The sequence below is a fragment of the Homo sapiens genome, chromosome 21 (assembly GCF_000001405.40).
Source record: "Homo sapiens chromosome 21, GRCh38.p14 Primary Assembly".
Classification (NCBI taxonomy): Eukaryota; Metazoa; Chordata; class Mammalia; order Primates; family Hominidae; genus Homo; species Homo sapiens.
In genome coordinates this window covers 41498442-41524121 of record NC_000021.9, presented here as the reverse complement: position 1 = coordinate 41524121, position 25680 = coordinate 41498442, and the positions used below count along the sequence as shown (strand labels likewise).

The window sequence follows — 25680 nt, the reverse complement described above, 5'->3', positions numbered from 1 at the left end:
AAAAAGACTTGTGAACAAAACCTTGAATTTTAGGTCTTCAAAAACTTATTCTAAGTGGAATAATGTTTCTCACTTTTCTCCTTTTCAAAGCAATGAAAAAAAATATGATCCTGATTATCTTCACCCCTGAAGAGACTCCTCTTTGTTGGGTGGGAGTGGAGGAGGGCAAAGTCCTAGCCTTAGGGGAGGGCTTCAGTGAGGTCCATTCTATCAGAGCCACCTTTCTGGAAATAAAATTGCATTTGGCAACAGATATACTTTATTTTCTCTTGACAGACAGTAGGTAATGTGTTCTGAAACACATAATAAAAACTGTACTACTCATTTAGAAACAAATTTTAGTAAAATGTTAAAAATATAGGAGAGGTAGATTATTTTCTATGCAAATGAAGCTTTAAAACTAGTTTCCTGGGCTTCCAACCACACTGACGTCTTATCCCCCAGAACACAGGCATGTGCCCCTTCCTACTCTGGACCTGGCTGGGGTGGGCAGAAGATGGGAGGGGGCAGGAGAAATCAGAGGTGCACATTCAACATCCATACATTGAGGAAGGAAGTCACTCCCCTCTTGAACCCTTGCAGGATGCCCTTGCCCTGAGGTCAAACTAAGCTCTTTGGATGAGTCTGCGATGCCTCCAGGGTCTCATCTATCCCTGCCTTCTCCTCAAACAGCAGGGACTTTCAAACCTTTGAAAGCAGCAGCCTCCATTTTGCAGATGAAATCTTGCACACCCTCTTCAAAATGGGCCCCAGCCGAGGTGGATAACAGAGGGTGTTCAGATTGCTGGTGCCTGCCCTCCCTTGGCCTCCACCCTGGCCATCCCCTCCCCACTGCTATGGGACTGCCCTGCCCCATGCCACAGGCAGAGCCAGGTACCAGGGCTCCTGTCCTGGGGAGGGAGAAGCGGCTCCTCCAAGCTCCCTCTGCCCCACACTGGAGCCCCTGGCTGCCTTTCCTCATCCCTTCCTAGTGCAGGGAACTCCCAGGCCGTGGAGAACTCCCAAGGGACGAGATGATGACAAAGATGCTCTGCTTGATTTAACCCAGCAATCCCATTACTGGGTATAAACCCAAAGGAATATCAGTCATTCTATAACAAAGATACATGCACGTGTACGTTCATTGCAGCACTATTCACAATAGCAAAGACATGGAATCAACCCAAATGCCCATCAATGACAGACTGGATAAAGAAAATGTGACACATATACACCATGGAATACTATGCAGCCATAAAAAGGAACAAGATCATGTCCTTTGCAGGGACATAGATGGAGCTGGAAGCCATTATCCTTAGCAAACTGATGCAGGAAGAGAAAACCAAATACTGCATGTTCTCACTTATAAGTGGGAGCTGGACAATGAGAACACATGGACACAGGGAGAGGAACAACACACACTGGGGCCTGTTGTGAGGTGGGATGTGGGGAGGGAGAGCATCAGGATAAATAGCTAATGCATGCTGGGCTTAATACCTAGGTGGTAGATTGACAGGTGCGGCAAACCACCATGACACATTTACCTATGTAACAAATCTTCACATCCTGCACAGGTACCCCAGAACTTAAAATAAAAATGAAAATTAAAAAAAAAAGATTCTCTGCTTGATGGAACTTTAGTCAAGCTCCTGAGCTTTTCTTAGGGCCCATATGTGCACTTCCTTCTAAAATCCAGCTCCAGCAAAGAACCCTGTTAAGTCAGTTTGATGAGAACTCCACCCTCGATATCTGATGGGGTTCCTCACCCTCCACCATCCCTCGGATGATGTTTGATCACCTCAGCCTGTTCTCAGCAAGGGCAGTTTAGCCAGAATCCCCCTCACCCCTGATGTTTCCCCTTAGTGATTTTCTATCCACGGACCCCACTCTGCTCCTGGGCTATCAGTCCCCACTTGCCTGGGCTGTAGTTAGAGTGGAGCCCAATCTCTCCCACCCCAGAAAGTCCCATTGCCATGGTGCCTGGACCTATTGCGATGGTCCTGAGTAGTCCACCTTTCCATCTTTAACAAGGGTCTTTGAATAACTTTTTCAACCATGGAAAGCAGGTGCTGCCTTTCTGGGAAGGATTTGGGGCACTGATCTTATCTTGTAGGCCCTTTTTAAAAAAGCCTTGTGACACTTCACCCATCTTTGACATATACAGCCTTTCATTCAAAATGGTGCTTTTTCAAAAAGCCCAGGATGTGAGCTTGAAATGTAATTCTGGAAGCTGACCTTTAATGAAGTTTGTTTAATCATAAACTCTTATTGTTGGAGCTAGTGCTGCATGTCTTAAAAGCTTTAAAGGGTACGGCAGGTACTCATATCTGATTAGCATCTGCACTTCACCAGGTGGCCATTTGTTGTCTAAAAATGTTGACATTCAACAATGTAATGAAAATGTTGGTCCTGGATGATAAAAAAAGTTTTTCACACAGCAAGGCAGAGGACAGTGCACTCTGTTGTGGGGCGTATGTCTCCCTGCACCACTAACTAGGGCAGGGGTGAGGAAGTGGTGGGCCACACCTCTGCCTGGAAGACGTGGTTTTTCCCAGGTACTTCAGAGGCTCTTTTCAATGTTTGCAATTGTAGGGGGCTCAGAATTCGCCAGGATTTAACAGGACTGGAGGAGGCCAAATTCACTAGGATTTAATAGGACTGGAGGAGACCAGAATGGGCTCCCCAGAGGCCTCAAACCCCCATTCCTTTCTGTCACCCAGAGTGACATATAAGCCTCCTCCCCACCTTTTTCACGGGGGAAGTTCTTATTGCAATGATCCTGTGTCTCCCCATCATTGTGAATGGCCTGTGTTCGGACCTGTTAGAGTTATGACAGAGGCCCCAGAGCCACCTCCAGAAGACCTGCCTACCCAGTGAGAGGACTTCTCAGCAGCTGGTGACCCATCCTAGACACAGGGGATTCCCCGTGGAGTTGACAGCAGTGAGGTGGGAGGAGAAGGAGGCCTACAGACAGGGAAGCAGGAGACGAAGCAGACCAGGTGTCTCACCCTCAGCTGCTGCTGCACTCCCCATGCTCTTCCAAACACCCTTCCCCCTGCAACTGCCTCCCTCTGGGTTCTGGAGCTAAGAGAGCCTGCAGGACTTGGGGCCCCTGGGGACAGAATGGGAGCAGAACAGCCCCACAAACAGGGTTCCCTTCCCAAATCCTGACCCCAGGAACCCCAGCTCCTGATTCCAACTCAGCTGCCCATCTCCTAGGGGCTGTGTGGTGCAGCCAAGTCAAGTGCCCTCTCTGAACCCCAGCATTCTCAGCTGTAAAAAGGGGAAATCAGTGTGTCCATCTTGCACTGAGGTAATGTAAACTCGAGTGTGGTGACTGGCAAAGCAAATATTCAGTAAAAGGTAATTGTTTTTATAGCATACACAGTGAGCCTTGGGGCTGAGCCTTATAACTTGGTTCAACCATGAAAAACAACAAATATTAAACAACCTTTTCCTTGTTTGAACAACTGGCATCTGGAATTCATCTGAAGAATTTGCTGAAAGCTTGGTGGTTGTATGAAGAGAGCCATGAAAGTCTTTGCTATGATATGAATGTGTCCCCCTAAAAGCATGTGTTGGAAACGTAATCCCTGATGGAACAATATTGGGAGATGGGGCCTAATGGGAGGTGTTTAGGTCATGAGGCTTAACTCTTAGGAATGGATTAATGATGATTAGAGGGCTTGAGGGTTTGAGGCTATGTGTTCCAGCTCTTGCTGTCTCGCCTCGTGATGCCTTCTGCCATGTTATGATGCAGCAAGGAGACCCTCGCCAGATGCAGCCCCTCGTCTTGGACTTCCCAGCCTCTAGAACCATGAGCCTAATAAACTTCTATTGTTAATAAGTTACCCAGTCTGTGGTATTCTGTAACAGCAGCACGAAACAGACTAAGACAGTCTTTATGTTTTTCTAAACAAGGGATCTCATTCATCCCTTGAGGACATGGCCAAAGGTCCTCAGCACACCAGAGATTTGCTTCACCTGGCTCTTAAAAGTGCTGATCATTCCATCTATAGCATTCTACACACCCTGTCTTTACAAGGAACTCGTGAATTCTCTGTCTTGCCTTCTGACTACGAGTACTTGTGGGAATCTTAGAGCTGGTTCACATCAAAACTAAAGTACAGACACTGGGACAAACACTGGGACAAATATTGTTTTATTGCTGACATCATGAATAGCTGCATTATTCCTTTTCAGGTACACACATTTTAAAATCCATTAATGATGAATCAAATGTCACTTTTTTTTTTTTTGAGGCAGAGTTTCACTCTTGTTGCCCAGGTGGGAGTGCAATGATGTGATCTCGGCTCACTGCAATCTCCCACCTCCTGGGTTCAAGCGATTCTCCGGCCTCAGCCTTCCAAGTAGCTGGGATTACAGGCACCCATCACCATGCCCAGCTAATTTTTTGTATTTTTAGTAGAAACGGGGTTTCACTATGTTGGCCTGGCTGGTCTTGAACTCCTGACCTCAGGCAATCTACCGGCCTTGGCCTCTCAAAGTGCTGCGATTACAGGCGTGAGCCACCATGCCTGGTCAAATGTCTGTTAAGAAACAGATTATTGCCAATACTATTTTGCCCAGTTCCCCAGTTTGTACCCCCACGCCCATTGAATCTCCATTCATTCCCACTAGGGGAAATCACCCTACTGAATTTTATGTTTATTAATTTCTTTCCCTTTTTCACAGATTTAGTATCTAGGCATATATTTCTAACTATACATAATTTAGCTTTGGTTGTTTATGAGCTTTATGCAAATGAGATCTGCAACTGGTTTTCTTGCCTAGTACTTTGCTTCTGAGAGTTATCCGTGATGGATACAATGGTAGTTCACCATCTTTCATTGTTGGAGGGCATTGTGTCACATGCACACACCACTGCACATTTATCTTTCCTCTTGTCAGTAGGAACTGACAGAATTTCCTATCAGTATTTGTTTTCTTTTTCTCCAGGTTTTGCAGTAGAAATAGTGCTTCTCTGAACATGTGAAGGTTTTTGGTGTGTTGCAAGAGTTTCTTTAGGGTGCATACTTAGCAGCGGGATTTCCGGGTGAAAGATTTTCACATCTTCAACATTACAGCATGATGCTGAAAAGGTTTTCAAAGTGGTTGTATCAATTTATATGCTCATCTCATTCCCTCTGCCCCCAGCAGATCCCCAATTTTGGCCATACCTAATATTGCGCAATTTTAATTTTTGCCAGTTTGGTGTGTATAAAATGGTAACTCATTTCTAAAATTTTGGTAAAATATACATAACATAAAATTTATGATTTTACCATTTTTCAGTGAGTGGCATTAAGTACATTCACACTGTCATGCAATCATCTATTTTCACCGCCATCTATTTTCAGAATGTTCTCATCTTCCCAAACTGAAATTCTCTACCCATTAAACACTAACTCCCAACCCTTCACCTTCGCCCCTTAGCCCCTGGCACCTGCCATTCTACTTTGCGTCTTTATGACTACTTTGGACTTCTCTAGGGACCTCATATCAGTGGAATCATACAGTACTTGTCTTTTTGTAACTGGCATATTTCACTGAGCATAGTGTCCTCAAGGTTCCTCCATGCTGAGCACTCATTTGGTTTTGTGTTCCACTTGCTATAATGATGTGGTGTGTGCGTGTTTGTGTGTGTGTGTGTGTGTGTGTGTGTGTGTTTAAAAGGGATTGCTTAGAGGATTTGGCCTTTTGGGTCAAACTGTGGGATCTGACTAAGAGGTCTCTCAATGGCTCTTATCTTTGCATCTGATGGCATTTGGGAAGGGAAGGAGGTTATAAAATGAGGAAGAACAAGGACAAGCTGGAACCAATGAGCATGAGCTGGAGCCCACAAGGCCAGACCATTGCCTATAACAGTGACAAGAGGGTCAAGTTGGGGCTGGGGCATGGGCTCATCATCTTGAACATACACACCTGGCCCTGGAATCAGACGCGCTGATGGAAGATCCAGGGGAAGGCAGAGCAGTTGCAGATTTAGGCATTCTTCTTTGCTTTATTTTGCTTGGTTTCATTAAGTCATCTCCTTCTCGCTCCTCTCATCCCATTTTTTAATTATTTGGGTATGGATGCTAATCATATTATATATATATATATGTGTGTGTGTGTATATATATATATATATGTATGTATATATATATATAGTCTTTTTTCCACCAGAAGAATACAATGATTAAAAGGCTTTAATTGTGTTCACTTTAATTGTGTTCATCGCACTACTGGCTTTCATGGTATGGTTTTCCAATACTTCAGTTCCATCTTTGTGTTGTTTTTGTTGTTGCTCTTTTACAAGTTAAATATTACTACTGGAGTTTCTCTATGCTGTAAATATTAGCTTAGATTTACCCACATTGTCAGGATTTTATTGGTTCACCATTTTCTCTTGCATGTCAGACTTTCTCCTGGGATTATTTTCCTGCTTCCTGAGCAATATCCTTTAGAAGTTTTTTTGTTGTGGTCAACACTGTTTTGTTTTGCCTATAAATGTATTTTCCCTCTCTCAAAGGATATTTTGCAGGATATAAAATTCTATGTAGCCTGGTGTGGTGGCTCACGCCTGTAATCCAAACATTTGGGAGGCTGAGGTGGGCAGATCATGGAGGTCAGGAGTTCGAGACCAGCCTGGCCAATATGGTGAAACCCTGTCTCCACTAAAAATACAAAAATAAGCCGGGCGTGGTGGCAGGCACCTGTAATCTCAGCTACTAAGCAGGCTGAGGCAGGAGAATGCCTTGAACCGAGGAGGCAGAGGCTGCAGTGAGCTGAGATCAAGCCACTGCACTTGAGCCTGGGTGACAGAGCGAGACTCTGTCTCAAACAACCAAACAAAATTCTATGTTGACAGCCACTTTTCCTGAAGACTTTAAATATTTTATTCCACTATATTCTAGCTTCAATCTGGATGTTGTCTTTTGTTTTATAATGCTTTTTATTTCTATTTATTTATTTATTTTAAGATGGAGTATCGCCGTGTTGCCCAGGATGGAGTGCAGTGGCATGATCTCAGCTCATTGTAGCCTCCGCCTCCTGGGTTCAAGTGATTCTTGTGCCTCAGCCTCCTGAGTAGCTGGGATTACAGGTGTTCACCATCACGCCAGGCCCATAATGCTTTTTAGGTCTTCTCTTCACTTCAGGGATTCTGAAATTTCACTAGGATGTGTTTCTACAGGTTCCTCTTTTTTTCTGCTTGGGATTTGTTGTGCTTCAATAATCTCAGACTTTCTGACTTTTATCAATTTTGGAAAATTCCTGACTATTTATTATTTTAAATATTGATTCTGCCCTATTATCTCAATGATCACTTTCCAAAAAACTAATCAGACACATTTTAGATTTTTTTACTCTATTTTCTATACCACTTAGTTTTTCTCATATTAAAAAAAAAAACAACTTTGTCTTCCTAGGTGAATTTTGAATAATTTCTTCTGGTCTATATTCCATGTCACTGATTCCATCTTCAGCTATCGAAAACTTTCAGCTTTTTACTTCTAGAAGTCCTCTTTAGTTTTTTTCTCTGCAATTCTGCCAGGTAATTTTAAACAATCCTGATTCCCCTGAGGACCCATCCTACCACCCTTTGCTCTAGACCTGTAACTAAACTCAAGTTATAACAGGCTCCTAAAGGTGAGGTCCAAAGTGTGACCCATAAAGAAATGTGCTGCATTCCAAAAGAACTACTTGAGTTTTCTAATTTATACAAACAGGAATCCAGGGAACATGTGTGGAAATGGATATTAAAGGTATGGATAATGGTGGAAGGAACACAACTTTGGATCAAACCAAATTCATTGAAATGGGCTTGTTAAGCAAGGACTCTGCAGTGAATGTTGCAGCTCAGGGAGTTAGAGAGGGCTCTAACAGTTTGGTCGGTTGGCTGAAACATGGATCAAAAGGTGACCCACAGCCAGCGAACTGGAAATGCTGGACTTGCCTTGGTTTAACATAGAGAAAAGGATTCAAATACTTAGGAAGATTGAAATGTGAGGGTGGATTTGTTATTTAACACCTGCTTACCCACTGTGGGAGGGGCCAGTGTATCTTACTTTTCACCAGTACTTTGATAAATAAGTTTGTAAGAGGAGCCTCAGCATCGTAAAGAGCTCTGTGATTACTCTTTGGTCTAGGCCAGACTTTACGTGAGAAATGCAATCACTAAATTGGGAAACCTCAGTGCAATAAGAGTAGATGGATCCCAAGGTAGCAGGGGCCAAGTGGAAGCACTCAACTGCCAAAGGCAAGGTGGGCATGGTTACTCTAATGGACAGTGGGTATAAAACAAAAATCAGAATAGTCCGACTCATGTGGATCTATGGCATGAACTATTCATGGTGTCTTGAGACATGAACTAGATGGGAAGCCTACTAAACCCTTACTTGATTTGTATGAGCAGACAAGTTCTAGGGCAAGTGAGCAGGCCTAACCTGAATCATCAAAACGGAGACTCATGCCCCTCAATCAATTCCCAGGCTTGAGCCAGTTTACAACCCAGAACCCTTTGAGTGAAGGGAAGACTGGGTCCCCTTGAGGAAGGATCCCAGGACACTATTGAAAATGGATCCTGTTAGCCTTTCTCCCATCCTTTCCCAAAGGAAAGGGACCTCTGGCCTTTTACCAGAGTGACTGTGCATTGTGGGAAAGGTAAGAATCAGACCTTTTGGAGATGACTGGACACTGCGTCTAAACTGGCATTGATTCCAGGAGACTAAAAATGTCTGTGTGGCCCTTCAATCAGAGTAGGGGCTTATGGAGGACAGGTGATGAAAGGAGTTTTAGCCCATGTCCAGCTTACAGTGGGTCCATTGGTTCTCAAACCCATCCTATGGTTATTTCCTTGTTCCAGATGCATAATTGGAATAGATATCCACAGCAGCTGGCAGAATCCCCATTTGGGTCCTCGACTCATGGAATGAGGGCCATCATAGCTGGAAACACCAAGTGGAAGTCACCAGAACTGCCTCTACCTAGGAAAATAGTAAATCTAAAACAATATTGCATCCCTGCAGGGATTGCAGAGATTAGTGCCACCATCAAGAACCTGAAAGACACAAGTGTGGTGATTCCCACCACATCCCCATTCAACCCTCCTGTTTGGCCTGTGCAGAAGACAGATGGATCTTGGAAAATGACAGTGGATTATTGTAGGCTTAACCAGCTGGTGACTCCAATGGCAGCTGCTGTATCAGTTTGAGCCAATGAACACATCTACTGGTACCTGGCATGCAGCTGTTCACCTGGCAAACACCATTTTCCTGTCCATGAGACCCACCAGAAGCAGTTGGCTTTCAGCTGGCAAGGCTGGCAATACGCCTTCGCTGTCCTACCTCAAGGGTCTATCATCTCTCCAGTCCTATGCCATGATTTTGTTTGCAGGGAACTTCATTGCATTTCTTTTCCACAAGGTATTGAATGGTGTATTACCCTGATGACATTATGGTGATTGGCCCTAGTGAGTGAGAAGTAGCAACTACTCTAGATTTATTGGTAAGATGTTTGCATGTCAGAGGGTGGGAAATAAATCTGAAAAATTTCAGGGGCCTTCTACCTTAGTGAAATTTCTAGGGGTCCAGTGGTGTGGGGCCTATTGAGTTGCCTTTTCTAAGGTGAAGGATAAGTTGCTGCATCCGGCCCCTCCTACAACCAAAACAGAGGCACAATGCTTAGAGGGCGTCTTTGGATTTTGGAGGCAACACAGTTGGATGTGTTACTCTGGGCCACTTACTGAGTGACCTGAAAAGATGCTAGTTTTGAGTGGGCCCCAGAACAGGAAAAGGCTTTACAACACGCCAGGCTGCTGTGCAAGCTGCTCTGACACCTGGGCCATAGGACCCAGCAGATCCAATGGTGCCTGAAGTTTCAGTGACAGAGAGAGATGTGATATGGAGCTGTTTGCAGGCCCTGGAGGTGAATTGTAGCACAGGCCCTGAGGATTTGAAGCAAAGCCTTGCCATCCTCCACAGATAAATACTTTCCTTTTGAGAAATAGCTCTTAGCCAGCTACCAGGCCTTAGTAGAGATGGAAGACTTGACCATGGGCCAACAAGTTACCATGTGACCTGAGCTCCCGTCGTGGACTGGATGTTACCTGCCCCACCACGTCATAAAGCTGAGGATGCACAGCAGCACTCCATCGTCAAATGGAAGTGTCTATATGTGGTCAGGCCTGATCAGGTCCTGAAAGCTTAAGTAGATTACATAAAGAAGTGACCCAATGTTCATGGTCTCCACTCCTGCTACACTGCCTTCTCTGCCCCCCTGCCTGCACCCATGGCCACATGGGAAGTTCCCTATGATCAGGTGACAGAGAAAGAGAAGACCCAGGCCTGGTTTACAGACGGTTCAGCACCATGTGCTGGCACCACCCAGAAGTACCCAGCTGCAGCACCACAGCCCTTTTCTGGGACACCCCAGTAGGATTGTGGTGAAGGGAAATCTTCCCAGTGGGAAGAACGTAGGGCAGTGCACCTGCTTGTGCACTTTGCTTCGAAGGAGAAATGGCCAGACATGCAATTATATATGGATTCATGGGCTGTAATCAATGTTGTGGCTGGATAGTCAGGGACTTGGAAGAAACATGATAGGAAAATTGGTGGTAAATTTGGGACAGAGGTATGTAGACAGACTTCTCTGAGTGGGCAAAGGATGTGAGGATATTTCTGTCCCATGTGAATGGCCACCAAAGGATGACCTCAGCAGGAGAGGACTTTTTTTTTTTTTTTGAGATGGAGTCTTGCTCTATCGCCCAGGCTGGAGTGCAATGGCATGATCTCAGCTCACTGCAACCTCCACCTCGCAGGTTCAAGTGATTCTTCCGGCTCAGCCTCCCGAGTAACTGGGATTATAGGCACGTGCCACCATGCCTGGCTAATTTTTGTATTTTTAGTAGAGACGGGGTTTCACCATGTCAGTCAGGCTGGTCTTGAACTCCTGACCTTGTGATCCACCGACCTTGGACTCCCAAAGTGCTGGGATTACAGGTGTGAGCCACTGCACCCGGCCAGGAGAAGACTTTAGTCATAAAGTGGGGCCGGGGTGGATTGCCTGAGCTCAGAAGTTCGAGACCAGCCTTGGCAACACAGTGAAACCCCGTCTCTACTATAATACAAAAAATTAGCTGAGCATGGCAGCAGGTGCCCGTAATCCCAGCTACTCAGGAGGCTGAGACAGGAGAATCACTTGAACCTGGGAGGCGGAGGTTGCAGTGAGCCGAGATTGTGCCACTGCACTCCAGCCTGGGTGACAGAGTGAGACTCCGTCTCCAAAAACAAACAAAAAAATCAAGTGGATGAGATGACCCATTCTGTAGATACCAGTCAGCCTTTCCCCAGCCACTCCTGTCATCACCCAATGGGCTCATGGACAAAGTGGCCTCGGTGGCAGGGATGGAGATTATGCATGGGCTCAGCAACATGGACTCCTACTGAACAAGGCCAAACTGGCTACAGCCACAACTGAGTGCCCATCTGCCAGCAGCAGAGACCAGCACCAAGGCTCTGATATGGCACGGTTCCCCAGATGATCAGGCAGCAACCTGGTGTCAGGTGGATTACATTGGACCACCTTCAGTATGGAAGGGGCAGCATTTTGTCCTTACTGGAATAGGCAGTCTGGATACAGATTTGTCTTCCCTGCACACAGCGCTTCTGGTGGAACTCACAGAATGCCTCATCCACCATCATGGTATTCCACATAGCATTGCTTTTGACCAAGGAACTGACTTCTCAAAGAAGCATGGCAATGGGCTTATGCTCATGGAATCGACTGATCTTCCCATATTCCCCACCCCCATGAAGCAGCTGACTTGATAGAATAGTGGAATCGCCTTTTGAAGATGCAGTTACAGTGCTGGCTAGGGGACAATGCTCTGCAGGCTGGGGCAAGGTTCTCCAGAAAGCTGTGTATGCTCCAAATCAGCATCCAATATGCGGTGCTGTTTCTCCCATAGCCAGGATTCACTGGTCCAGGAATCAAGGGGTGGAAATGGGAGTGGCACCACGCACTATTACTCCAAGTGGCCCACTAGCAAAATTTTCGCTTGCTGTTTCTGTGACTTTACGCTCTGCTGACCTAGAGGTCTTAGTTCCGGAGGGAGGAATGCTGCCACCAGGAGACACAACAATGATTCAATTAAACTAGAATTTACGACTGCCACCTGGCCACGCTGAGCTCCACATGCCTCTGAATCAAAAGGCAAAGAGAGAGTTATGCATTGGCTGGGGAGACCCATCTGGACTACCAAGGAGAAGCTATAGACTACTTCTACTCCACCAGGAAGGTAAGGAAGAGTGTGTCTGGAATACAACGATTCCTTAGGGCATCTTTTAGTTTTACCATGCTTGTGATTAAGGTCAATGGAAAACTACAACACAATCCAGGCAGGGCTATTAATGGCCCAGACCCTTGAGGAATGAAGGTTTGTATCACTCCATCAGGTTAAGAACCATGACCAGCTGTCATGCTTCCCGAAGGCAGAGGGAACGCAGAGTGGGTAGTGGAAGAAGACAGTTACAAACACCAGCTATTGCCCATGCAACCTGTTATAAAGCATTAGATTGTCACGAGTATTTTCTCATTATTTTTTTCTAAATACATTTGTGCACATATTTGTATATACAGTATATATCTCTGTTGTCTTTTCTCTCATATTCCTTTATTACATAACTTAAGGCATATTGACTTTATATCATTGTATTAAGTATTGTTAATTTTACATTATGGTATTTAAGTTATGGAATACCAAGGAGAAGTGTAAACACTGGAGAATTTTACATCCACTTCTGGGGAAGGGCTTAGTGCATTTTTTGGTTGTATGCAGAAGAGTTTTATCACATTAGGCAAAATTATTACTTTGCTATTGTCTTTAGAGATAAAGTATGGTGTAAGGAGATGTGTAGGTGTGAAGTCGACAAGGGGTCAACTTATGGTGGCATATATATTCATGCTTAGATAAAACTAAGGTCACATTCTGTCATACAAGCTGGAGTACAGTGGCACAATCAAAGCTCACTGCAGCCTCAAACTCCTGGGCTCAACTGATCCTCTCACTTTAGCCTCCCAAGTACCTTGGGCTACGGGTGCGCACCACCACACTTGGCTAATTTTTAATAAACTTTTTGTAGAGGCAGGATCTTGCTATGGTGTCCAGGCTAGTCTCAAACTCCTGGGCTCAAGAGATCCTCCCACTTCAGCCTTCTAAATGGTGGGATTACAGGTGGGAGCCACTGCATCCAGCCATGGTTAATTTTATGTGTCAAGCTGACTTGGTCATGGGATGCCCAGGTAACTGGTTAAACATTATTTCTGGGTGTCTGCGTGTGAGGGTGTTTTTGGAAGAGATTAATGTTTGAAAAGACTGTGTAATGCTGATTGCCTTCAATTTGGGCAATCGGTTGAGAGCCTGAATAGAACAGAAAAGGGGAGGAAGGTTGAATTTGCTCTCTGCCTGACTGTGTGAGCTGGACTTTGATCCTCTCCTGCCCTCAGCACTCCTGGTTCTCAGGCCTTCAGACCTGGACTGGAATCTGTTCCATCTGCTCTCTAGTTCTCTGGCTCTCAGGACTTTGAAAGCTACAACACCAGCTTTCCTGGGTCTCCAGTCTGTAGATGGCAGATTGTAGAGCTTCTCACCCTCCATAATTGTATGAGTCAATTTCTTATAGTAAATCTTTATATATATTATAAATAATATTTATTACATATAAGCTGTGTATAATATATATCATATCTGTATTATATTATGCATATAAAATACATGTTTATGTATATATTTATATGTATTTATAATATATAAGATATTTATAATATTTATAAATAATATATAGAAATATAGATGTGTGTATATACATGTGTGTGCATATGTATATGTGTGTATATATTTGTATTTCTCCTATTGTTTCTGTTTCTCTGGAGAACCCTGATTATTAATATAAAAGGAAAAATAAATGGTGAATGAACAACCACTCCAAGAGGCCTGAGTCTGCGGCAGCACTTACTCCCTGGTTTCTGGGTGGAATTAGTAGGCACCAAACACACTGTCAAGACAGAAATAAGTGAGTTGCCGCTGAAAGACAACTGCACCTGCCCTATGTGCTGGAGAGGGTCTTTGAGGGTTTCCCACTGGGGCAGAGCGCAGGGCAGTGTGGGGGATGGGGAGGGCTGGGGCATATTGGGGACAATCCCTGTTGTGGGTGCCACCAGCAGACCACAAAAGGTGCCAAAGGAGGGAGTGAGAGGGAAGGGTTTACTAGGAAAGTCCTGCCCCACAGGAGGCTTCCGGGAGAGCTTCCCAGGAAGGGAGCAGTGAGCCAAGGCAGCCTGGGATGGGACTGAATGGGGCTTTTTTCTGCTTCCACCTCATTTTAAAGCAAATCATGTTGATTTGTATATTATGCAGGGGAGGAGAAAACATGCTTCCCCTCTACCCTTCTAGTTCGTTCAGCTAGTCTACAAATTAAATTGGCATCAAATAGATGAACAGGAGAAAAGCTGTTTTAATGTATGTACTCACAGATGGGAATCCCACAAGAATATGAGACTTAAAGAACAGGCCAGGTGAGTGAGGGGTCCAGTGCGAGGGCTCACACCTGTAATCCCAGCACTTTGGGAGGCCAAGGCAGGTGGATCGCTTGAGCCCAGATTGGAGACCAGTCTGGGCAACATAGGGAGACCCCCATCTCTACAAAAAATTAAATTAGCTGGGCGTGGTGGCACACGCCTCTAGTCCCAGCTACTCGGGAGGCTGAGGTGGGAGGATTACTTGTGCCCTGGGAGGTTGAAGCTGCCATGAGCCATGATTGAGCCACTGCACTCCAACCTGGGCAACAGAGTGAGACCCCTTCTGGGGGAAAAAAAAACACACGAAAAAAAAAAGGTGCAGCAGCCCGATGATTGAGGCTTATCTGTCACTCTGAGTGACAGAAAGAAATGGGGGTTTGAGGCTTCTGGGGAGCGGTGGAGGAGTGAGGGGAGCGTGAGGAGAGGAGGTGTCTGGTGAACGCAGGTTGCCGTGTGAGGCAGATAAAAGTTTCCCAGGTGATAAAAGTTGTCCGGGAACAGCTCTCTTCCTGGTACAGATCTGCTGACTAACAAACATTTCCTTTATAGGTGCAAATTTCCTTTACAAAAGGGCATTTTCTCAGAGGTACTCTGGTGTCTGCAGTTCCTCAACATAACCAGTTCCAAATCATCAATGTGCCAAAGAGGACTATGTTGGGGTAGCAGATTCTGGTCTCCTCCAGTCCTACTTGGGGTGATGAATTCTGGTCTACGGTCCTATTAAATTCTGGTGAATTCTGAGCCCCCACAATTGCAAACATTAGAAAGAACCTCTCAAGTGCCCGGGAACAGCCACGTCTTCCTGGCTGAGGTGTGTCCCACCACTTCCTCACTCCCGCCCTGGCCGGTGGTGCCGAGAGACCTGGGACCATCCGGGGGAGCACTTTCCACCGGACGCTGGTGGGGGCCAAGAAATGCCAGCCTAGGCGGACTGGGGAGGGTCTTGGGCGTCCGGCGCTGTGTCCCCGCCACTCGTGCTTGGGCCAGCAGTCCCCAAGGCCTACCCTGGGTCCTTGCCCAGAGGCTACAGTGGGTTCCCCGGAGGCCAAGACGGGGCCGGCCGCCTACAGGAGCTCGTGAGGTAGCAGCTCCGGGGGCTCACCCAGGACTCCAGGAGCGCTCCCCAGAATCCCCTTCCTTAACCCAAACTCGAGCCCTCGGGCAGCGCTGCGCCGCGGACCGGAGAGGGGCAGGTTGGCCGCTGTGGCCGGGCCCGGGAAGCGCCCCAGAGTCCCTTATGGGTCCCTCCGCAGCCGGGGTTGAGCCAGGCAGGGAACCCGTCCCGGACTTCCCTTGGGAAACGCCTCCTCCCGCCGCCCCCGCCCCCGCCCGCCCAGGGTGACCCGCGACCCGCTTGGGGGTGTCGCCCTGGACCCTGGGACACCGCCTCCTGAGATTAAAGCGAGAGCCAGGGCGGGCCGGGCCGAGTAGGCGCGAGCTAAGCAGGAGGCGGAGGCGGAGGCGGAGGGCGAGGGGCGGGGAGCGCCGCCTGGAGCGCGGCAGGTGAGCGGCGCCGGTACCAGGGTCCCGGCTCGGGGTCCGGGCTGGGGAGGGGAACCTGGGCGCCTGGGACCCGCCGATGCCCCCTGCCCCGCCCGGAGGTGAAAGCGGGTGTGAGGAGCGCGGCGCGGCAGGTGAGTGCGCCCGAGGGTCGAGCGCTGGGGCCAGCCGGGCAGGGCGCCTCCCGGGGTGCTGGGAGAGTGCTGGGCGCCTGGGACCCCTTGCGCACGGCCGAGAGCCCTCGCCGCCCCTGTTGGCTTGGCATCGCGAGGTTGGGGCAGGTGGTCCTGCGAGTCCCTAGCCAGTTGGTGGAAGAGAGTCCCCCGGGGTCCCCAAAGCTGGCTCCTAGTCCGCCTGCCCTCCACGGCCCCCGCCTGGGAGCACCGGTGCGCCTTTTCTCTTTGGGGAGGAGGACTGGGAGTGCTGTCGGTTGGCTTCTTTGTTTGGGGGAAATCTCTGCAGTCCCGCAGTGTTACCTGAACTCCTTCTGCTTCTTGGTTCCCTACTGAGGTAGGGAGAAACTGGAAACTCGCTGAGATGCCGGGAACGATACGGCCGGCGCGGCGGGGACCGCTGGGCCAGGCTGCTGGAGGGCCCCCGGGCGAGGTGCGAACGGCCAGTCAGTCTCGGGGAGGGACTGCTCGCGACTCAGGCCCCGTTGCGGCGACCCGCTGGCGGCGATCAGGGCCGGGGCCTCCTGGACACCCGGCACCGGCAGGAACCCGCCCGGGAGGAGCCGGTCTGGCTCCTCCGCTTGCGCTCCGTGCCGGGTTGGGGGGAAGGCGGGGCACCTGGGCGCTTCGGTCCACCTCATCCTGTCCTGCCCGGCTCGGCACAGTGGCACCCTGAGTGGTCAAGTGCTCCAGTCTGGCAGTGGGCGCTCTGCTCGAGCACGGGTCCAGCTGAAAAACTGCCCCATGTCCAGAAAGTTTGTGCGCCGAGAGCCCTGAGCGCTTGTGGCAGAGGAGGGCCTTCGCCCGCTCCGCCGTAGAGCACAGCGCGGTGGCCCTGAATCCTGTTCAGAACGCCCTGGTGGCAGCCCTAATCACGAGGAATCCTGGTGGCTTGTTTGGGAAGGAAAGGATAGCACGGCGGCCCGAGGTGAGCCCTGTGGGCAGGGAGCACCCAGGGCTCGCCTTCGAGGCTGCGCAGCCCTTCCCTCCGTGCGAACCTGTGCAGTGGTCCCGCGGGAAAGATGAGCGCATCGCGCCCAAGGCAATGCCTGACCTCACGGAGCTCCCAGCCGCGAGAACCTCCCGAATCATGGAAAATTACAAAGGCTACGCAGCCCAGTTACAAGGCATTTGGAAAACCTAAAGTGAGACTAAGTTTGTTGACCTGTCCCAGGAGATCTGGGAAGGTACTCCAGGAAGTGGGGATGCAGCCAGCCTCCCCTGAAGGAAGGATGGGGGTTGGGAGTGTGGCAGGGAGAGTTTACCAGCGCAAAGGGCCTTGGGGACGCAAGTAGCTAAGTCAGTCCTGGCTCCTGAGCTGCTGCTGTGAAGGGAGGACCTGGTGGGCTAGGTAACCGGGAGCTCCCCCAGAAAGTCACTGGAGGTTGCTCAGGACTTCCCCACCTTTACTGAGTGCTTTTGAAGAAGTAGGACCTGCCCTGCTCCGCTACAGAACTACTGGACAGGTGAGGTTAGAATGAAACCTAGCAACACCCTCGGGTAAGGACACACTAGGCTGGAGAGTTCGGGGTGCAACCTACGGGCTGAGACCTCTGCCTGGAGATGGCCATCTACACCTCGGCCTCTGGTTATTTTTAATTATCAGCTGGTGAGCTGGCTGGGCTTTTGTTCTCTGCTTGGACATTTGTTTGGTCCCCAGCAGCTTCCCTTATTCCCACCAGCCAAGGACAACCTTCTAACAACAAGCTTGTGCTGTTGCTGGAGCCTCAGGCAGGGCCTCCCAGGTTGCTAGGTGCTGGCCTGCCTGGCACCGTTGGCCACTCTATCTTGAACTCAAGTCACCTTAATTGTAGGAGTATATTTGGCTGCACTGGCATTATAATAATAACCACAGACATTGATGTGGCACTTTTTTCAGCCAGGCATCATTGCAAACCCTTTATAATGTACTTAACTCAATTGTAAGGAAACTGGGGAAGAGAGGTTGGGAAGCTTGTCCAAGATCTTGTAACCTGTAAGGGGCAGAACTGGGGATAAACATGGCCTGTCTGGCTCCATAGGTCAGTGCTTCCAGTGTCGGGCTCTGAGTTGGAGACACAGGATGCTTAGAAGGGGCTTTAGTGACAATCGGCACAGTACGGATTCCTTTTGATCCTTCCCTGGGTTCTCCCTCCAGGATGTTGGAATGTTACCAGCAAGTGGAGGAAAGGAGGGAAGGAAGCTGGAAACAAGGCGCCCGGAATCCTGATTGAAAAGGGCTTGTTCCTGGGCCAGGCTCTGGTTCTCCCCGACCTGAAAGAGCCCAGCCCCTGCCCACAGCCCTACCTGGGCTCCGTGCTGCTCCCTCTAGCAGTATGACATGGCCAGAGTGCCTGGAACTCTGAAAGGGGGCCTGCGGAGGGCTGACCTCCTAGGCCATGGGGGCATTGAGTGACAAGACGCTGGTGCAAATGTCCTGTAGGTGAAAAGGTAGATGCGTGCAGTACCTTATGCCAGTAACCACCACCACCACGATCATCATCATCCGAGTGTGTTGTCCCCCTACCAGGAAATGTAAACCAAAAGTCTGGCTGATAACTCTTACCCTTTTCCACCTGAATCTGCGGCAAGATTCCCTAGGGGATCTTCGTAATAATATGGGATCATTGCCTTGGTCCCAATTATTACATCAGACTCTGAGAATGGGGCCCAGGCATCTTATTTATTTATTTATTTTTCTAAGCCCTCTTGAAAATTCTGGGTTTGGGGAGCACTGATCAGATCTAAGCCTTGGACATTGAGGTAGAAAGGAAAGGTGAATGGTCAATGGAGTGCTTGTTCAGTTTTGGTTGCTGAAGACTTGGAAAGTGGCCTTGCTAGTGGGGAGAGTGAGGGCAGGGAGAGCTCCCTGTGGGGAACCAGAGAGCCCAGGAGCATTGAAGGCCCAGGTGCATTTCTGCTCTCTGGTCCCTCCTGCTCTGCACTCCCTGAGTGTCCCTCATCCCACAGTCACCAGGCCTTTGCTACTCTTCCCCGCCCCTCCTTACTTTCCAGGACACCTGCCAGGGGATCCTCCAATATGGGATGCACTGCGTGGCCTCAGGATTGGGGTGCAGGAGCATTATGTACCTGAGAGCTGAGGCCTGTATGGAGTCAGCCTTTGTGGGGCCCCTCCTGGCCCTAAGGGTGATTTGGGAAGCCCTGACTTGCAAGCACCAGGGGTATGGGCCTGGGTGTGAAGAAGGGGGCTTATGATGTCCCCATGGCCATTGACCACCTTGGCCCCACCGAGCCTGTGGACACCCAAGGAGGAGCAAAAGGGGGATCTGTGACAGGGTAGCAGCTTGGTTGAGCACACAGGCAGCTCTTCAGCATGACCTAGAACAGAGGCTGGGCTCCAGGAGGAGGCAGAGCCTGATCTGGGACTTGGTTATTCCTGGTTGCTGAGCAATGGTCAGGAGAGAGGAACTGAATGAGTGGAAATGCGCTGGTTGGGAGTCGAGGCTGGTTTTCTGGCAGGGGTGTGGGTGGTTACTTTTGTTGTAAACAGAGTGAAGTTTGAGAGGGCAGGAAACTCGAAGACAGGCTTTTCATCCTCCTGGAGGTGAGTCTGGGAGAGGGAGGTGAGGGCTCTGACATCTATGTGTGGATGGCGCTGAGCCATTGGGCATCCATGGCAGGAGGGCAGGAGGAGTTTAGGGCACAGAGTTGTGGTAAGAAAGCAGGAAGTGTTTGAAGGGCACCTTGGCTTGTGGTTGTGGCAGCAGAAGTCTGGAAGTTCACTCAAGGGCAGACTAGGTGGAAAAATCGGGGCTGTCAAGTGGGACTCAGAATGAGAGGTTGTGACAATTGGATTTGTTAGAAAAATATTTTCAAGCGAGGTCTGACTTGGCAGATGGAACTAAGCTGAGGCTTTTTATTATTGCTTGTTTGTACGAGGTGCACAATGCAGTGTCAAATTCCCTTTAAGGCCATTGCTTTCCAAGGGGCTGTCCTGGCGGGGCACTCAGCCTGACCCCACTGCAGTATAGCCCAGGGGTCATGGGAGACCATGCTTTCTAGGGACGATGGGCTTGGAGTTCTTTGTGCAAGATACTGATAACAGAGAATTTGCTGACATTTTCAAGTTCACTGGTGATGATGCATTTATAAGGAGTTGGGAGTAATATGAAAGATCACTATGTCTGGTCTTGATGCTCAAGCCTAATTCTGTTCTGGAATATGTTGGAGAAATGATCCTCCAGTCTTGAAACATACATTTTTAGGTTTGAGGAATTCGGTACATTCTAAGGTAGCTCCAGGCCATATGTGAACTTTCTAATTGTTGGAACCTTGATTTCCCCAGATAGAATCCAAGCCTGCTCTTCTGGAAATTCTGATCATGATTCTGGTATTGTCCTTTGGATGTATGCAGAATAAACTGAATTCCTTTTCCACATAGCCGGCTCTTACGTGTTGGAAGATAAACCTTATCTGCCATCATTATGTTATTATTGAGTGCTCACCATGGGTTGGGCACTGAGCTACGGCCTTGCTTTCTCACTTAATCCCTGCAACAACCCTATTTCTGTATCATCCCCATTTTACAGATTGACTTGGACAAGTTCTTTAAGCCTCAGCCAGTGGCTTGTGTGTGGTGTTGAAGTCTCCGCCTGGAGTGACCTGAGGGCCTCTGCCGCCTGCCTGCCTGTCATGCCAGGTTGCACTCAGCTTGAGGCACCTGGACTCCTGGGAGGTCACCCACTGTCCTGACTTGGGCTGCTGGTGTTGTCTGGGTGTGGGCATCTTATCGCCCTCTGCTAAATTTCATCTTACTCATTTGGCCTTTGGAACTCAAAAAATATATATTTTTTCCTGCAAATTGCATTGTATTTCAAATTTACATTTCCGATCGTCTGTTGTTGGTATATAAAAACACATAGATTTTTATATTGATCTTGTATCCCTCAACTTTGCCAAACATGCTTATTAATTTTTCCCCAATAGTTTTTGGGGTACAGGTGGTAAGAACTCCATAAAAACATTTAAATACTGTCTTTGTAAGCTACAAAGTGAGATTTAAAAAACAAACAGAAAGAGAGAGAACCAGACCTGATATCTGCCCTAAAAAGTTTGTAATCTCTTTGGGACAATGAGTCATTCACAGGAAAAGAAACTTGGATGATGCAGGCAATACCTCTCCTAAGGTGATCTTTCTGTTTCTCGCTCAACCTTTCTCTCTCAGTAGAACTCTTGTGCCAATCATTGTGTATGCAATTTACCTGATTATACATAAACAAGTTTCTGCTGAACAGCCACTGAAATCCACTGTTGGCTAACTCATTTAGTCATGCATTCTATCCTTAGGAGGATAGAACATCTCGTTGTATAATGTGATATTAGTGCGGTTATTTTGGCATAAAGGGCTCTTTTTGATGATTTGGTCATTGGCTGGGATGTGTCCGTGGATGGTGGTGGTGGTGCTGTCTGGATTTTGAAGAAGGGGCACTGAGTCTGAGGCTGTCTGTTCCCTCTCACACCTCCAGCAACTCGAACCGTACCAGTCACAGGTGGGGGCTTCGAGAAGGAGAAGGTGTGTGCACAATGGTGCACGGTGAGGTCAGTGGAGACTTCATTGCAGAGAATACCCCTGGATCTTGGGTGGGAGTCAGTGTCTACAAGCCTAACTTCATTCGCGTTGGCTTGGTTGTTTGGAAAGTAAGTCTCCAGTAAACGTGTCCTGAGATCTCCAGAGGAGAGAAACTAGGAGAAAAGATTCTTGTTTTGGCAGTAACTTCATCATGTCATGGGATGCGGATACGATGCCACAGCATCGTCCTGCTGCATGGTGGCCAGGCAGGTGACTCATGGGCTGACTCAGCTCTCAGTCCAGGATGGACCAAAACAGTGCGAGGACAGCTGTGTGCCATTGTGAGATTCAAGTGGGTGACACTGTCTGTATTGAAGGAAGAGCTCCCTGCCAGCCAGGAATGGAGCCTGAGTGCCACCCACTGTTGCTCTTTCACACTTAAAGGAAAATTTCCCCAAGTGCTCATGGTGGCTGGCTTTCCAGAATTGAGAGCCATCATCCCGGTCCTTTAAATGACAGGAGCAAGCATTCGCTAAACAGCATTGTCTCTCGCCATCTACTTTACGTCTTGCTCCTTTCAGAAATGAGTTAATGCGATGTACAAGCTTGTGTGAATGAGGAAATGCCTGTTTTGAAGATGAACAGGACTGAATGTGATTTCCTGGTCTTTTCGGGACAGCAGTGCTTCCCCTTGCAGATCTAATGTCAGAGCGGGACATTCCCCCCCTTGTTTTATTTTCAATTGGAGAATGTTGTTGTTGTTTCTTTTTTTTTTTTTTTTTTTTTTTTTTTTGAGACAGAGTCTCTCTCTGTCACCCAGGCTGGAGTGCAGTGGCCTAATCTTGGCTGACTGCAACCTCTGCCTCCCAGGTTCAAGTGATTCTCCTGCCTCAGCCTCCCAAGTAGCTGGGATTACAGGCACCCACCATCATACCCAGCTAATTTTTGTATTTTTAGTAGAGATGGGGTTTCACTATGTTGGCCAGGCTGGTCTTGAACTCCTGACCTCAGGTGATCTGCCCGCCTTGGCCTCCCAAAGTGCTGGAATTATAGGCAGGAGCCGCCGTGCCCGGCCCAGCTGGAGAATGTTACTGGCAGCATCACTCTGGTCTTCCATTCCAAAGTCCATGGTAACTGACTTGGGCACACGGAATATTTTTGTTTATCATGTTCTGATTGCTGGAAGAGATAGGATTATCCTGTGACTGCCTCTGGGTCCCATGGCTTTTATTTGACAATTAATGGTGGTGGCTCCCGGTGTTCCTTCCTTCCCTGGCTTCCTTGTTAGGGATCGTGAATGAATAGCAAGTGTGGGTTTTGAGTATTGATTCTTCACTCCTTTCAGAGGGCTTCTGAGCTGGGAGAGCTGCCAATGGGATCGAATTTTCACTTCCTGAAACTTCAACCAAACCTGTAACTGGGGAGATAGGACAGCCGAGAAACCAGAGGCATGAGGATGTGTTTGGTTAGGCAGGACTCTTTGAAAGCAATCTTAGGATGGTACTGAGTTCTGTCCTGCTTATGAGACAAGAATGCGGGATTTATTGTGTTGTCAAGCCTGAGGATCCTCTCTCTTCACAAAGCAGACATAGGCAAGGTCTGTTAAGATGTGGCTAAAAGGCTTAAACGTTTTTGATACATTTTAAATGGTGATCCTTCCCACCTGTACATTAGTCACTTTCCTTTCCTTATACCCAGGAAGGTGTGAACTTTAGTTTTAATCCTAGAAAAAGTCCCAAAGCTACAACATGACCTGGTTCTTGTATTTTTATCTGTAATTGAAGAGTAAATAAATGATTGGTGCATGTTTGTTGTAACCTGTTGGGTGAGGTTTCTCGAGACTAAAAAGCCATATACTCATTTTCATTCATGGCAGGCTGTTGGGGTTTTATAGTTTAATGATTCAGCAACCAGTTCTGCTTAGGACACAGGAAAGCGATGGTGTACTGAAGCCGGCCCCACTCTACTTGGCTCCGTGGTGGGCTTCATGTTGGTAGCCTGGGAATACTTACCGAAGGCAAACCTGCGAATCAAGACAGCCCTCTTTTCCTTCAGCAGGTTGTTAAATGTTTATCAGCTTTATAATTCCTCTTATTTAATGGAAAGTTATATAGCACTCATTTTATGCTAAGCATGAAGCACTTCATTAGTATTAACTCATGGAATGCCCTGGAGGTAGGTGTTACTATTATCTGCATTTGCAGATGGGGAAACTGAGGCACAGAACCTTCAATAGCTTCCTCCAGGTCATGGAGAGTGAGTGGCTGAGCCTGAGTTTGGATCTAGAGTCTAGTCTCAGAGGTCAGGGGCTGAACCGCTGCCCAGTGCTGCCTGCTGCTGTTTGAGCACCTGCTTTGTGCCAGCAACTGGGAAATATTCTTCTGTGGCCATGTCACAGACAGTGGACACTGGTCTGGCCAGGTCCGAAGCCCAGAGCCTCCTCCAGGTTCTTGTTCCCTCATTGGGAACATGGTCTTGTGGACGGATAATCTTGAACCCCGTTTCTTAAAATATTCTTTGGTCATTTAAAGCCAAGCGGGAAGGGGTGGAAAAAAGCCCTTTATTTGCTCAGGAAGGTGCATGTTAAAGAAAAAAAAATCGTCCAATGAGACTTGTTAAAATGGTGAAGCGAACTTTATTCAGGACCACGGAGGCAGGTACAGGGACCACAGCCAGCAGATTTTGCAGTGGGAAGAAGAGACTGGGATCCGCTTGAGTACAGTATGGGCAAGTGGGAGTTAATTTATAACCAAGGATCAGGGTGGGGTTGGTGGGTGGAAAAATCACAAAGAGAAAACATCAAGGGTAAGGGGGATTCTGGCTAAACCAACCAAACAGGATTCTTGCTGAAGACAGGCTGGGTGATCAGACATCACCTGTGGCACGGTGGAGGCTGAGGAACCCGATCAGATATCCAGAGTGATCAGATACCGAGGGTGGGAGGTTCTGGCTAAACTGACTGAGCAAGGTTTTTTGCTAAAACTGGATTTTACAAGGAAATGCACAGATGGCCTAGAAGGTTCAGGAGCTTGATATAAGTTTGATCAAGCGAAGAATCTTTGTCCATGGAGAGTGATGTCAGAATGCGGCTTTACTATACAGCATTTCGTGTTGACGGCATCTCTAGCTATTATTGTTAACTGTTCACAAAGGACAACAAGCAAAATGGCCCACAGCTTTCTTTTCATTACTGCTAATCTTAGCAGTGGTCAAAATGGTTGGCTCTGAATTTCTTTCTTTTTTGGGTTTGGGGTAGTAAATGGAGTGACTGTGGACATGTTTTATGGATTATTTTAAGCGTATGTATCTATTAAAAATTGAGAGGGCCCACATGGCCTGCTTTAAAAAGTCAACTGTGAGCTGTATTTGGTGCTGAGCCCTGAACCACCCGCTGGGCAGTGGGTGGCTACTGGCAGTGCCTGTGGACGTTCTCGGGGAAAGACGGTCTGATTGCACCTGCTCTTCCTCAGTTCCTAGTACTGTGAGGCACTCTTTCCCCACTCTCCCACAACCCTCAGCTTAACACAACTGTGGTGATTGCTTTGTCCGTTTTCCCATGAGGACCCTGAGATTTCAACAAGGTTCAGTAACTCACACATCGACACTTCCAGGGAGCTGTGTTGCCAGGAACTGGCCCAGGTCTTTCCCTCCTGGGCCCATCTTGTCCTTAATCTCTGCTGACATTGATGGGTTTAGTTACCTTGTCGTGTTTCTTCAGTGTTTTATGCCATACAGTCTCCCTTGAGTAGATGTTCTGTATAGGGGATATCACAGCTTCCTGGTGAGAACTGGGTTAAGTCCAGCAGGATGCCTGGGCTTAGTGGCACTGGAGTTGTGGGTGGCCTTGAGCCCCAGGCAGTCCCCTGAGAGCCCTTCCCGATGGATGTTTGAGTCACTGAGTGTGTTCCTTCTTCTTTCTGGTCAGGCTGTCCTGGCCGCTGCACTTACAATTGCACCCCA

General features: G+C 48.0%; 1 protein-coding gene across 3 annotated transcripts in view, besides 37 other annotated features; it reads left to right on the top strand.

Annotated features, from left to right (window-relative positions):
- Window positions 1706–5045: an enhancer, noted in NCBI's record as "E1 fragment used in the pGL3-Promoter-E1 construct". NCBI's record gives its function as "dihydrotestosterone (DHT)-responsive activation of an SV40 promoter in transfected LNCaP and VCaP prostate cancer cells {active_cell/tissue: LNCaP | VCaP}" and the evidence as "EXISTENCE:reporter gene assay evidence [ECO:0000049][PMID:31405024]".
- Window positions 1759–4635: a transcriptional cis regulatory region, noted in NCBI's record as "range of sgRNAs used for CRISPR/Cas-mediated deletion of the E1 enhancer". NCBI's record gives its function as "positively regulates transcription of TMPRSS2 and PCSEAT in LNCaP prostate cancer cells {active_cell/tissue: LNCaP}" and the evidence as "EXISTENCE:deletion mutation evidence [ECO:0005510][PMID:31405024]".
- Window positions 2031–3050: an enhancer, noted in NCBI's record as "fragment A used in the reporter construct". NCBI's record gives its function as "dihydrotestosterone (DHT)-responsive activation of an SV40 promoter in transfected LNCaP prostate cancer cells {active_cell/tissue: LNCaP}" and the evidence as "EXISTENCE:reporter gene assay evidence [ECO:0000049][PMID:17679089]".
- Window positions 2108–2755: an enhancer, noted in NCBI's record as "B39 fragment used in the reporter construct". NCBI's record gives its function as "dihydrotestosterone (DHT)-responsive activation of an SV40 promoter in transfected LNCaP prostate cancer cells {active_cell/tissue: LNCaP}" and the evidence as "EXISTENCE:reporter gene assay evidence [ECO:0000049][PMID:17679089]".
- Window positions 2209–2626: an enhancer, noted in NCBI's record as "-13 kb ARBS fragment used in the pGL3 promoter construct and deleted in the delta-13-kbARBS-TMPRSS2-Luc-BAC construct". NCBI's record gives its function as "androgen-responsive activation of a minimal E1A TATA-box promoter in transiently transfected LNCaP and VCaP prostate cancer cells, and a TMPRSS2 promoter in stably transfected LNCaP cells {active_cell/tissue: LNCaP(+R1881 androgen) | VCaP(+R1881 androgen)}" and the evidence as "EXISTENCE:reporter gene assay evidence [ECO:0000049][PMID:24109594]".
- Window positions 2283–2305: a transcriptional cis regulatory region, noted in NCBI's record as "TM-ARE2 sequence that was quadrupled in the pGL3 reporter construct". NCBI's record gives its function as "androgen-responsive activation of reporter gene expression when four copies are used in transiently transfected LNCaP and VCaP prostate cancer cells {active_cell/tissue: LNCaP(+R1881 androgen) | VCaP(+R1881 androgen)}" and the evidence as "EXISTENCE:reporter gene assay evidence [ECO:0000049][PMID:24109594]".
- Window positions 2283–2305: a protein binding site, noted in NCBI's record as "TM-ARE2 probe". NCBI's record gives its function as "binds AR in VCaP prostate cancer cells and necessary for androgen-responsive activity of the -13 kb ARBS enhancer in LNCaP and VCaP cells {active_cell/tissue: VCaP}" and the evidence as "EXISTENCE:protein binding evidence [ECO:0000024][PMID:24109594]".
- Window position 2291: a transcriptional cis regulatory region, noted in NCBI's record as "single nucleotide polymorphism with presence of the variant A allele in the rs8134378 pGL3 and TMPRSS2-Luc-BAC rs8134378 reporter constructs". NCBI's record gives its function as "major G allele necessary for androgen-responsive activity of the -13 kb ARBS enhancer in transiently transfected VCaP cells, and in stably transfected LNCaP cells {active_cell/tissue: LNCaP(+R1881 androgen) | VCaP(+R1881 androgen)}" and the evidence as "EXISTENCE:reporter gene assay evidence [ECO:0000049][PMID:24109594]".
- Window positions 2291–2297: a transcriptional cis regulatory region, noted in NCBI's record as "range of TM-ARE2 bases mutated in the TM-ARE2 mut construct". NCBI's record gives its function as "necessary for androgen-responsive activity of the -13 kb ARBS enhancer in transiently transfected LNCaP and VCaP prostate cancer cells {active_cell/tissue: LNCaP(+R1881 androgen) | VCaP(+R1881 androgen)}" and the evidence as "EXISTENCE:site-directed mutagenesis evidence [ECO:0005528][PMID:24109594]".
- Window positions 2291–2338: a protein binding site, noted in NCBI's record as "FP probe". NCBI's record gives its function as "binds multiple GATA sites in VCaP prostate cancer cells and contributes to androgen-responsive activity of the -13 kb ARBS enhancer in LNCaP and VCaP cells {active_cell/tissue: VCaP}" and the evidence as "EXISTENCE:protein binding evidence [ECO:0000024][PMID:24109594]".
- Window positions 2291–2338: a protein binding site, noted in NCBI's record as "FP probe". NCBI's record gives its function as "binds Oct1 in VCaP prostate cancer cells {active_cell/tissue: VCaP}" and the evidence as "EXISTENCE:protein binding evidence [ECO:0000024][PMID:24109594]".
- Window positions 2307–2321: a transcriptional cis regulatory region, noted in NCBI's record as "Oct region deleted in the B39 Oct Mt-Luc construct". NCBI's record gives its function as "important for androgen-responsive activity of the B39 enhancer in transfected LNCaP prostate cancer cells {active_cell/tissue: LNCaP(+DHT)}" and the evidence as "EXISTENCE:reporter gene assay evidence [ECO:0000049][PMID:17679089]".
- Window position 2309: a transcriptional cis regulatory region, noted in NCBI's record as "single base mutated in the GATA2 B mut construct". NCBI's record gives its function as "important for androgen-responsive activity of the -13 kb ARBS enhancer in transiently transfected LNCaP and VCaP prostate cancer cells {active_cell/tissue: LNCaP(+R1881 androgen) | VCaP(+R1881 androgen)}" and the evidence as "EXISTENCE:site-directed mutagenesis evidence [ECO:0005528][PMID:24109594]".
- Window position 2318: a transcriptional cis regulatory region, noted in NCBI's record as "single base mutated in the GATA2 A mut construct". NCBI's record gives its function as "important for androgen-responsive activity of the -13 kb ARBS enhancer in transiently transfected LNCaP and VCaP prostate cancer cells {active_cell/tissue: LNCaP(+R1881 androgen) | VCaP(+R1881 androgen)}" and the evidence as "EXISTENCE:site-directed mutagenesis evidence [ECO:0005528][PMID:24109594]".
- Window positions 2340–2444: a transcriptional cis regulatory region, noted in NCBI's record as "ARE region deleted in the B39 Mt construct". NCBI's record gives its function as "necessary for androgen-responsive activity of the B39 enhancer in transfected LNCaP prostate cancer cells {active_cell/tissue: LNCaP(+DHT)}" and the evidence as "EXISTENCE:reporter gene assay evidence [ECO:0000049][PMID:17679089]".
- Window positions 2393–2399: a transcriptional cis regulatory region, noted in NCBI's record as "GATA region deleted in the B39 GATA Mt-Luc construct". NCBI's record gives its function as "important for androgen-responsive activity of the B39 enhancer in transfected LNCaP prostate cancer cells {active_cell/tissue: LNCaP(+DHT)}" and the evidence as "EXISTENCE:reporter gene assay evidence [ECO:0000049][PMID:17679089]".
- Window positions 2816–2995: an enhancer, noted in NCBI's record as "active region_18482". NCBI's record gives its function as "activates an Ori minimal core promoter by ATAC-STARR-seq in GM12878 lymphoblastoid cells {active_cell/tissue: GM12878}" and the evidence as "EXISTENCE:reporter gene assay evidence [ECO:0000049][PMID:35858748]".
- Window positions 5276–5349: a silencer, noted in NCBI's record as "NBS4 sequence used in the reporter construct". NCBI's record gives its function as "represses activity of a thymidine kinase promoter in transfected HEK293 cells {active_cell/tissue: HEK293}" and the evidence as "EXISTENCE:reporter gene assay evidence [ECO:0000049][PMID:24418414]".
- Window positions 5285–5290: a transcriptional cis regulatory region, noted in NCBI's record as "core NKX3.1 binding region of the NBS4 element that results in loss of repression when mutated". NCBI's record gives its function as "necessary for NKX3.1-mediated repressive activity of the NBS4 element in transfected HEK293 cells {active_cell/tissue: HEK293}" and the evidence as "EXISTENCE:site-directed mutagenesis evidence [ECO:0005528][PMID:24418414]".
- Window positions 12640–12699: a silencer, noted in NCBI's record as "NBS2 sequence used in the reporter construct". NCBI's record gives its function as "represses activity of a thymidine kinase promoter in transfected HEK293 cells {active_cell/tissue: HEK293}" and the evidence as "EXISTENCE:reporter gene assay evidence [ECO:0000049][PMID:24418414]".
- Window positions 13613–13706: a silencer, noted in NCBI's record as "NBS1 sequence used in the reporter construct". NCBI's record gives its function as "represses activity of a thymidine kinase promoter in transfected HEK293 cells {active_cell/tissue: HEK293}" and the evidence as "EXISTENCE:reporter gene assay evidence [ECO:0000049][PMID:24418414]".
- Window positions 13670–13675: a transcriptional cis regulatory region, noted in NCBI's record as "core NKX3.1 binding region of the NBS1 element that results in loss of repression when mutated". NCBI's record gives its function as "necessary for NKX3.1-mediated repressive activity of the NBS1 element in transfected HEK293 cells {active_cell/tissue: HEK293}" and the evidence as "EXISTENCE:site-directed mutagenesis evidence [ECO:0005528][PMID:24418414]".
- Window positions 14987–15994: an enhancer, noted in NCBI's record as "fragment N used in the reporter construct". NCBI's record gives its function as "activates an SV40 promoter by reporter gene assays in LNCaP prostate cancer cells {active_cell/tissue: LNCaP}" and the evidence as "EXISTENCE:reporter gene assay evidence [ECO:0000049][PMID:17679089]".
- Window positions 14987–16867: a biological region, named in NCBI's record as "TMPRSS2 promoter region". NCBI's record gives its function as "regulatory_interactions: LOC117134608 | TMPRSS2".
- Window positions 15474–16867: a promoter, noted in NCBI's record as "-1112 to +282 fragment used in the pGL3-TMPRSS2-Wild reporter construct". NCBI's record gives its function as "drives TMPRSS2 gene expression in transfected A549 lung adenocarcinoma cells {active_cell/tissue: A549}" and the evidence as "EXISTENCE:reporter gene assay evidence [ECO:0000049][PMID:32376987]".
- Window positions 15842–15876: a protein binding site, noted in NCBI's record as "guanine-rich tract TMPRSS2-G/-C probe". NCBI's record gives its function as "binds EGR1 in Calu-3 lung cancer cells {active_cell/tissue: Calu-3}" and the evidence as "EXISTENCE:protein binding evidence [ECO:0000024][PMID:32376987]".
- Window positions 15842–15876: a protein binding site, noted in NCBI's record as "guanine-rich tract TMPRSS2-G/-C probe". NCBI's record gives its function as "binds Sp1 in Calu-3 lung cancer cells {active_cell/tissue: Calu-3}" and the evidence as "EXISTENCE:protein binding evidence [ECO:0000024][PMID:32376987]".
- Window positions 15842–15876: a sequence secondary structure, noted in NCBI's record as "guanine-rich tract TMPRSS2-G oligo that forms a G-quadruplex in the presence of potassium ions". NCBI's record gives its function as "represses TMPRSS2 promoter activity in the presence of stabilizing benzoselenoxanthene analogs in transfected A549 lung adenocarcinoma cells {active_cell/tissue: A549(+benzoselenoxanthene analogs)}" and the evidence as "EXISTENCE:electrophoretic mobility shift assay evidence [ECO:0000096][PMID:32376987]" and "EXISTENCE:spectrophotometry evidence [ECO:0001126][PMID:32376987]".
- Window positions 15846–15872: a transcriptional cis regulatory region, noted in NCBI's record as "range of guanine-rich tract bases mutated in the pGL3-TMPRSS2-Mut reporter construct". NCBI's record gives its function as "positively regulates the TMPRSS2 promoter and necessary for repression by G-quadruplex-stabilizing compounds in transfected A549 lung adenocarcinoma cells {active_cell/tissue: A549}" and the evidence as "EXISTENCE:site-directed mutagenesis evidence [ECO:0005528][PMID:32376987]".
- Window positions 15964–25680, top strand: part of TMPRSS2 (transmembrane serine protease 2) — a 43854-nt gene continuing 34137 nt past the window's right edge. For 2 of the 3 annotated variants that reach the window (NM_005656.4, NM_001382720.1), the window contains exon 1: window positions 15964–16041. Coding sequence is in view for 1 of the 3 variants with exons in the window: in NM_001135099.1 (NP_001128571.1) it covers window positions 16118–16172 (55 nt within the window). In the remaining 2 variants the exon portion in view is untranslated. The other variant, NM_001135099.1, reaches the window with a different exon arrangement.
- Window positions 17112–25680: part of a mitotic recombination region, noted in NCBI's record as "TMPRSS2 recombination sub-region, recombines with the ERG recombination sub-region. This represents the genomic range from 26 different TMPRSS2 genomic breakpoints.", that runs on past the window's edge. NCBI's record gives the evidence for it as "EXISTENCE:nucleotide sequencing assay evidence [ECO:0000219][PMID:23447416]".
- Window positions 18382–18540: a protein binding site, noted in NCBI's record as "region showing enrichment for dihydrotestosterone-dependent DNA topoisomerase II beta binding, near the case 30 TMPRSS2 recombination sub-region". NCBI's record gives the evidence for it as "EXISTENCE:chromatin immunoprecipitation evidence [ECO:0000226][PMID:20601956]".
- Window positions 18552–18553: a mitotic recombination region, noted in NCBI's record as "case 30 TMPRSS2 recombination sub-region, recombines with the case 30 ERG recombination sub-region". NCBI's record gives the evidence for it as "EXISTENCE:nucleotide sequencing assay evidence [ECO:0000219][PMID:20601956]".
- Window positions 20147–20148: a mitotic recombination region, noted in NCBI's record as "case 17 TMPRSS2 recombination sub-region, recombines with the case 17 ERG recombination sub-region". NCBI's record gives the evidence for it as "EXISTENCE:nucleotide sequencing assay evidence [ECO:0000219][PMID:20601956, PMID:19363497]".
- Window positions 22135–22223: a protein binding site, noted in NCBI's record as "region showing enrichment for dihydrotestosterone-dependent DNA topoisomerase II beta binding, near the case 24 TMPRSS2 recombination sub-region". NCBI's record gives the evidence for it as "EXISTENCE:chromatin immunoprecipitation evidence [ECO:0000226][PMID:20601956]".
- Window positions 22141–22142: a mitotic recombination region, noted in NCBI's record as "case 3 TMPRSS2 recombination sub-region, recombines with the case 3 ERG recombination sub-region". NCBI's record gives the evidence for it as "EXISTENCE:nucleotide sequencing assay evidence [ECO:0000219][PMID:20601956, PMID:19363497]".
- Window positions 22681–22682: a mitotic recombination region, noted in NCBI's record as "case 24 TMPRSS2 recombination sub-region, recombines with the case 24 ERG recombination sub-region". NCBI's record gives the evidence for it as "EXISTENCE:nucleotide sequencing assay evidence [ECO:0000219][PMID:20601956]".
- Window positions 23147–23148: a mitotic recombination region, noted in NCBI's record as "LuCap93 TMPRSS2 recombination sub-region recombines with the LuCap93 ERG recombination sub-region". NCBI's record gives the evidence for it as "EXISTENCE:nucleotide sequencing assay evidence [ECO:0000219][PMID:20601956, PMID:19156837]".